Here is a 9,000-nt window from a genome sequence, read left to right as displayed (position 1 = left end):
AGATGCATGTCTCTCTAGAGAATAATATGTTCTTTGATCATTCAGATGATTGGCAGAATTCAGTTCCTTGAAGTGGGACGACTGATATCTCCATTTCTTTCCTGTCAGCTGCTGGCCATTTCAAGCCCAAATCAGTGAGGAGAAATATACTCTCTTCCTGAAGGTACAGAGTGAAGGGAGGAGACAATTTCTAAGCATTTACATATTTTATTATACCGTTTGAAATATTCAGCAAGGTAATGAATATTAAAGGTTAGTACTTTACCTGTAGTATAGTTGGCCTTTGATTGGTGTCTTTTTTTTTTTTTTTTTTTTTTGAGACGGAGTCTCACTCTTATTGTCCAGGCTGGAGTGCAATGGCTCGATCTTGGCTCACTGCAACTTCCGCCTCCCAGATTCAGTTCTGCCTCAGCCTTTTGAGTAGCTGGGACTACAGGTGCACACCACCACGCCCACCTAATTTTTTTTTTTTTTTGTATTTTTAGCAGAGATGGGGGTTTCACCATGTTGGCCAAGCTGATCTCGAACTTCTGACCTCAGGTGATCCACCCGGCTTGGCCTCCCAAAGTGCTGGGATTACAGGCGTGAGCCACCGCGCCCAGCCATCTTTTGTCTCTTAAAGCCTTCTATTAGTTGGATGAGGCCCATGAACATTACGAAGGGCAATTTGCTTCACTCAAAATCTGCTGACTTCAATGTTAATCTCATCTAAAATTATATCCACAGCAACATATAGACTAACGTTTGGCCAAATATCTGGGATCCATCGCCCAGCTAACTTGACACATAAAATTACCCATCTCATTTGCCTATTTTTATTTTTTAACTCAGTATTTACATGGAGTTTTAAAAAGTAATATGCAGAGATCCTGTGTACCATTAACCTAATTTTCCCTAAGGGTGGCCTCTTATAAAGTTGTAATACAGTATGACCACTAGGAAGTTGACATTAATCCAGTCAAAATGCAGAATACTTTCCATCACAACAAGGATGCGTCATGTTGCATTTTAATGGACACAAATACTTCCCTTCCATTCCCAGCTCTTCCTAATCCCTGGTAACAATTCCTACATTCTACCTTTCTATAATTTTATCATTTCAAAAGTGGTAAGGAAATGGAATTATTCATTATGTAATCTCTTGGGAATTGAATCTTTTTTCAGTCGGCATAATTCTGTCACCAATCATCCAGGTTACTGTGTGTATAAATACTTTTTTTTTTTTTCTTAATCCTGAGTACAAGCGTTTGTGTGAATGTAAGTTTTCCTCTCTAAGGAGTGCAGTTGATGCATCGTCTGGTATTTGCATGCTTAGTTTTTTAAGAAAGTGCCAAACTTTTTTCCAGAGTTTCTGATCTTGTTATATTTCCACCAACAATGTGATAGTAACCCACTGGCTCCATATCTTTCCCAGCCTTTGTTGTTGCCACATTTTATTTTTAGTGAACCATTTCAACATACGTGCTATAATATCTCATTGTGGTTTTAATTCTGAATTTCCCTAATGGCTAATGATGTTCTTATTTAATATTTGTATACACACTTGATTGAAATGTCTATTCATGTCTTTCATGCATATTATCATTGTTTTGTGTGTTCGTTGGTTGGTAATGTTGAGTTTTGATAGTTCTTTATATTTCTAGATAAGAGTCCTTATTCACATGTGAGGTTTAAAAATATTTTCTTTATTCAGTAAGTAGTGTTTTCAATTGCTTAATAGGATCTTCAAAACACAGAGTTTTTAATTTTGATGAAGTGCAGTTTATTCATTTTTCTTATTATGGATGGTAATTTAGTATCATGGCTCAAAATGATTTGTCTAGTCCAAATGCAAGTGATGTGTTTCTACATTTTCTAAAACTTTGTTTTAATCTTTTTAAATTTTAATTTAATTTTATTTTACTTTAAGTTCTGGAATACATGTGAAGAACGTGCGGGTTTCTTACATAGGTAAACATGTGCCATGGTGGTTTGCTGCACCTATCAACCCATCATCCAGGTTTTAAGCCCCACGTGCATTAGGTATTTGTCCTAATGCTCTCCCTCCCCTTGCCCCCGACCCCCTGACAGGCTCTGGTGTGTGATGTTCCACTCCTTGTGTCCATGTGTTCTCATTGTTCAACTCCTACTTACGAGTGAGAACATGTGGTGTTTGATTTTCTTTTCCTGTGTGAGTTTGCTGAGAATGATGGCTTCCAGCTTCATCCATGTCACTGCAAAGGACATGAACTCATTCCTTTTGATGGCTGCATAGTACTCCATGGTGAATATGTGCCACATTTTCTTTATCCAGTCTATCACTGATGGGCATTTGGGTTGGTTCCAAGTGTTTGTTTTTGTAAATAGTGCTGCGATAAACATACATGTGCATGTGTCTTTATAGTAGAATAATTTATAATCTTTTAGATACATACCTAGTAATGGGATTGCTGGGTCACATGGTATTTCTTTTTCTAGATCCTTGAGGAATCATCACACTGTCTTCCACAATGGTTGAACTAATTTACGCTCCCACCAACAGTGTAAAAGTGTTTCTATTTCTCCACAACCTTGCCAGCATCTGTTGTTTCCTGACTCTTTAATAATTGCCATTCTGACCTGCATGAGATGGTATCTCATTGTGGTTTTGATTTTCATTTCTGTAATGACCAATGATGATGAGCTTTTTTTCATATGTTTGTTGGCTGCATAAATGTCTTCTTTTGAGATGTGTCTGTTCATATCCTTTGCCCACTTTTGATGGGATTTTTTTTTTTATTGTAAATTTGTTTAAATTCCATGTAGATTCTGGATATTACACCTTCGTCAGATGGGTAGATTGCAAAAATTTTCCCATCTTGTTTAATGCCAAAATATGATCTAACTATATAATAATGCAACTATATATATATAATTAGGTAGACTGATTTCTCTCACTTTATTATTTTTCAAAATGGTTTTAGCTATTCTAGTTTCTTTGCTATTCTCCATAAATATTAAAACAATTCTTTCTATATCTGTACCAAATTTACTGGGATCATGATAGGAATTGCATAAAATCTATATATTGATTTGGAAATAATAGAGATTTCTATTGTGTTCAGTATTTCAATCTAGGAACCATATGGGGAATTCCTTCAATCTAGGAATTATATGTATTTCCATTTACTTAGAGCTTATGTGATATTTTTTCTGCATGGTTGTACAGTTTTAAGTATACAAGTCTTACATATGTTGTATTAGATTTATAGAAAAATCTGTTTGTAGATTTATTGGTGTTCTCACTATAGACAATTATGTCGTCTCCAAATACGGTCATTTCTTTTTATCTCTTCACTTATTTCTGCCTTTTATTCTTTGTTTCTTGCCTTATCAGACTTGTTAAATTTCCAGAAAAGAAAATTGAAAGTAAGTGGTGGGAGCAGAAATCTTTGTTTCTAATATTAGTGGAAAATATTCAGTCCTCATCACTAAGTATAATGTTAGCTGTGTTGTTTTTTATAGATTTTCTTTATTAAGTTTAGGTGTGCCTTTTATTCTTAGTTTTCTGTGTGTTTTTATTATGAATGAGTGTTGGATTGTGTCAAATGCTTATCTGCATGAATCGACAAAATCATATGTTTTTTTATTCTTTATCTTTTCATATAATGTTTTACATTGATTGATTTTTAAATATTGAGCTAGCTTTGAATTCCGTAAATAAATCCTAAAGAGTCATTACATATATATTTTTGTATATTGCTGAATTCTATTGGGTAATATTTTGTTAAGTATTTTTGCATTTTGTATTCAAGAGGTAATACTGGTCTGTAATTTTTGTTTTCTGTACTATTTTTGTACCATTTTCTTATCAGGGTCATTCTAACTTTATAAAGCATTCCCTTTCTATATCCTAAAATATATTTTTTAGAACTGATGTTAATTTTTCTTTCAACAAAACAGTAGATCACTACAGTTAAACCATCTGGATTTAGAGGTATATTTTTGTATGAATTTGTAAATTATGAAATCATTCCCTTAGTAATTACAGGAAAGTTTAAATTATCTGTTTAATATAGATTTGATAGTGTATTTTTGGACAAAAGTGGCACATTTTATATAAGTTGTCAAACTTGTGTTTGTAGATCTGTTTTAAGAAATCTAAGATATGGTCTATCTTGGTATATATTCTATGAGCATTTAAAAATAATATATATTCTGCTCTTCTTAGGTAGAGTGTTCTATAAATATTGATTAAATCCAGTTAGTTAATGGTGGTGTTGATTTTTTCTATATGTGGTACCTGAATAAAAAGTAGAATATAATAAATTTCATGTAGATTATTTTTGGATTTTTATGCATATAATCATATAGTCTTGTTATTTTATTTTACTTATTCCTTTCCCTCCTTATAACTTTTTTCTTAACTTATTAGCACTGAATATCAATTCCCATACAATATTGTATAATACTGAAGAGAAGTTATAAAAGCTTATACGTTTGTCTCATTCGTAATCTCATGTGTAAAGCTGTCAAAAACCCCTCACAAAATATGCAATTGCCGTTTTTTGTGATTATTTTTATTAATTTACAAAATGTTTCTTTTATTCTAACTTGCTCTGAGGTTTTGGCATAGATGATAAATTTTATCACATGAATGTGCTGTATCTAACAGCATCATAAGATACAAGGGGAAATGTCTCTTTTTCATAGGCTAGAACATTTTTTGTTACAATGGTGTTTTTGTTCTTAAATATGGAATAATTAATCATAAGCCTTTGTTTTGTTTTTATTGCATTTTGTTTAAAGAAAGAGTTTTAGTATAAAGATTTAACTTCTTTCATATAAATAAATAATATGCAGATTTTCTATGTCCTTATTTTTGTTATATTATGGTTTTTCCTTATTTTAATATTTACTCAGCATTTCAAATTTATTGGCACATTTTTAATTATATTTTTGTGTTAACTTTTAATGTCAGAAAGACCTGCAATGATCCTCATTTTTCCTAATATTGGAAATCTGTGTTTTCTCTAGTTTATCAGCCTTAGAATGGGATTTGACAATTTATTCTTTTGAAATAAGTATTACTTGTTGATTGTATATATATGTGTATATATGCATTATTTTTAATTAATATCTTATCAATTGTATCACTTTAGTTTTGCTTCATTGCTTTATTTGTAAAAACCTCATTCTAAAAATACTTTATTAATTTTTAATATTTCTTCATATCTAACATGTTCATATATTGCTATTCACTTTGCTTCAAACAATCCCCTTATGCTTTGAGTTCACTAAGCTTCTTAAATATGTGAGTTAGAATAGTTCAACATTGGGAAAAATTGTCAGCTAATTTGTTTTACAAATAGCCTCTTCTCTATCTGTACTCTTCTTCTGGAACATCAATCATATGCATTTGAAAGATGTGTCACCTTGTTCTGATTTCTTTTTTTTTCTTCTTATCATTCTTCTTATTACACAGCGATGCAACAATTTGGATGTTTTTACTGATGGCTTTACTAATCCTGTCACTATATTCAAGGCATTCATTTTTCTCATTCTTTAGCGTTTTATGACTACTATAGTTATTATTTACATTATCACTTTTATTATAATAATAGATCCCAATTTTTTGTTATACTTAGTTTTTTTCATCTATTTTGTTCATATTCTTCTATATTTTCTTTTATATATAAATATTTATTGAAATTTATTTTCTAACTCCAATATATTTATTATCTTTGAGTATCCATTTATTGTCTCCCATCCTCTAAATTATAATTCATATTGTCTTGCCTCCTTTAATCAACATTGTATTTACTGCAAGCCAAATACTATGCAAATAAAGCATGGCAGAAAATGATAGCATTACCTTATTCCAAGGAAGCTTTTCTTTTTCCTTGTTAGCAAGAGAGTCTTAGGTGCTTATTGCTTCAATCTAATGTGAAATTGATTGGGGATGGGGTTCCAGATTTAGGGAGATTTAACCTACCTTTGTTTCAACTTTTATCCAAAGGCCTTGAATAAACGTTTTGCAGGTCTCAGTCTCCTCAGGAAGATCTAGCTTTGCCAGTAAAAGATTCCCATCCAGACTTTCCAATGGTGAGCCTTAGACATATGTGAAATCTCACTAACGTCTTGTGGACATTACAGCATGGATGATTCAAACATGTTTTGTAGAAGATGTTTAAAATTATACATTATGAATGTTTAAAAGCATGCATTTTAAAGACCTTACTCGGTCTTTTTGAATCAAATCTTCCCTAGAATGTCTTTGCTTTCTTAAGACCAAAACCTTGAAGGGAGTTTTCCTTTGTATCCTACCTTGAGTTAATCAGCTAATACTCTTTAAAGCAAAGAAACCAAGTTATTAGTCCATTGAACTTTCTGATTTGTTATATTGGTCCCACCCAACTGGCAACGTATTTACATGTTTCTCTTCCCCAACAGAGGCTCCATGACTAGACAATTCTAATTTCAAAATTGAGCCAAAATCAGCAAATTCCCTCATGAGAGAAAAATGGTTGGAAATTGTCACCTTCTTAAAAATTCCAACACTGACTGGGATTATATTTCATAAGCTTTATTGTTTTTATAGCTCTTAGAGACCATATACTATGACATTTGGAATTTATCTGTATTTTTCTGCTTATAATAAGTGACATACTGTTCTTCAGAAACAACTGCATTTTAAGTAAAAATGAACATTTATTTATTATAATTACTTAATTGCTTCTTACACTGGAATTTAAATTTCACAAGTTAAGGAACTTTACTTATTTGATATACCACTGTATTAACAGGAATTAAACCATTACCCAATATAAAATTAGCACTCAATAATTATTTATTAAGTATATTAGTAAATTAGCACGAAAGTAAGGGTTCCTCAGTGCAGCTCCTTCCAGCCATCCCCCTCCAACATAGTCTTTCAACCAATTCACCCATTTTACATCTGATTGCTTGGATATTTTCAGAGAAAGCTGCACTCTCTTGAGTTGCCATCTTGTATTCTTATTTGTGGTGTTTTTTTTCCATCAATGGAAGGTAAGCTCCGTCACAGCATGGATGATTCAAACATGTTTTGTAAAAGATGTTTAAAATTATACATTATGAATGTTTAAAAGCATACATTTTCAAGGTATATTATACTTGATAATGAGCAGGCATATGAGGATGCACATTTTGATTTTTGCAACAACATTCTAACATAGAATGTTCTTATCATTGAGGAGAATATATAAGTATAAAATGTAAATAACTTTGCATCTCACAAATGTCTATAAAAAAGCATGAATTTTTAAAATGGTTTAATGAAGTTCCTTTTCAATAAATTCAGTGATACCATTGTATCTTTATAATTTGTATTGATTATTAAATAATATTTTATTTCATACAAAGACAGTAATTGAAGAAATTCCAATTAAATATTTTCTTGAAATAGCTAAGCAATGGGTACCAAGCAGAATGCTGAGGTCCAGTACTGAGGTTTCACAACTCGGTATGTGTTAGAACCTGCTTTAGGAGACCATCCACAAGAGCTTTCTGTCCTTCTACACACCTTGGTTCCTATGCCTGAATGACAAGGTCTTCAGTATTCTTTAATCCAGAACACAGGAGTGGCGAGTATCACACAAAGAGTGGCACAGTTCTAAAGATCATTTTATGCTGCTGTAAATTTAAAACTAACTGTATAGAAATAGACTCATCATTGACGCTTGTACCTAGTTGTCTTCCTGGCAAAGATCATTTTGTCTTACTCCTTGCTATAAAATGCAGATTCCCTAAGCTTCAGTTCCTCAGCTGTGAAACTGCCACTCCTTGTTTATCACCCATCTAGATTCTTCACATTTCCTCCAATAACAGGGAAATCAAGTATCAATAGGACAATGCTCCCACTGCCTGCTAGACCTTGAGTAATACCATTCTTTATCTTCAACATAGGAACCTCTTGTCTTTTACCAGCATCCATGGAATTGTGGCAAACTAACTTATTACAACTTATGGTTATTTTTGTGAGTGTTCTACCACTTCTAGCATTACTCTACATCGCCAAATTTAGGTAAGTAAGGTAACATCCCAAAAGAGGGTCATATAGGTAACACGTGGTTGTAAAATAATTTTGAAAAATCAATTTACTTTCTTTCACAGAATAGTATCTAGGAGACTGAAGCAACTGCTGGACTGAGAGTGAAGAAACCAGAATTCTTCCCTGGTCTGCCAATAATTAACTATTAGACATTGAGTAGGAGGAAATGTGATTAACATTCATTGAGCATTTACTATGTGTATGTCATCCTGCCAAATTAATGTATTCATTTAATATGCATACATTCTATCCAAATGAAAGTTGTAGAAACTGAGGCAGAGACTGTTAAGTGTTTGTCCTGAGGTTGTAAAACTAATTGGCGTATTCAAGTTTTGAACCCAGGAAATTTCCAGTTGCAGAATGATACTCTTAACCAATGCTTTCTGTATGATGCAAAGATTATGAATGTTGGATACAGACATACCTGTGTTAATATCTGGGTCTACCACTATTCTCTTTGTGGCCCTAGGCAAATTACTTAAACTTCTTAGCCTTATTTTTAACAATATTAGAATATTGTACCTACTTTGAAGGATGTTTATGTGAATTAAACCTGATGATTGAGATGGTATCTCTTTGCACAGTACTTGACATATTATTGTCTTTCAGTAAATATTAATGTCTTTCCCTCACTAAGTGCTTCTAAAATACGTATGTGGCTTCAAATATTTTATGTTTAACCTTGTAGTTCTTGCTTCAAAGTGTTAAGTTTATGTTCTCATTTTGTGTAACAGCTTTTTCAAAATTATTTTGCATTTCAAGAACTCATTTTTTTTCCCAGTACCTTGTTCAGTGATAAAAGTGAAAGAGCCTTATATTACCACATTCTGTGCTATTTGAAATAGATCTCCAAGCAGAGGATTAAATGAAAATTCCCCTACTCTCAGATGTACCTAAAAGAAGTAGTAGATGTGGTCATATAATTTAATGTTTGAAAAATTACACTTTCC

General features: G+C 32.3%; 1 long non-coding RNA gene across 1 annotated transcript; it reads left to right on the top strand.

Annotated features, from left to right (window-relative positions):
• The first annotated feature begins 7,911 nt into the window (after nt 1-7,911).
• LOC124904320 (uncharacterized) lies at nt 7,912-8,621 on the top strand. The gene is made up of 2 exons (XR_007066403.1): nt 7,912-8,023; nt 8,113-8,621. It is a non-coding gene; the product is annotated as an uncharacterized LOC124904320 (long non-coding RNA).
• Nucleotides 8,622-9,000: the final 379 nt, after the last annotated feature.

Source organism: Homo sapiens, chromosome 18 (genome assembly GCF_000001405.40).
Source record: "Homo sapiens chromosome 18, GRCh38.p14 Primary Assembly".
NCBI classification, from domain to species: domain Eukaryota; kingdom Metazoa; phylum Chordata; class Mammalia; order Primates; family Hominidae; genus Homo; species Homo sapiens.
This window is presented reverse-complemented; position numbering and strand designations above follow the sequence as displayed.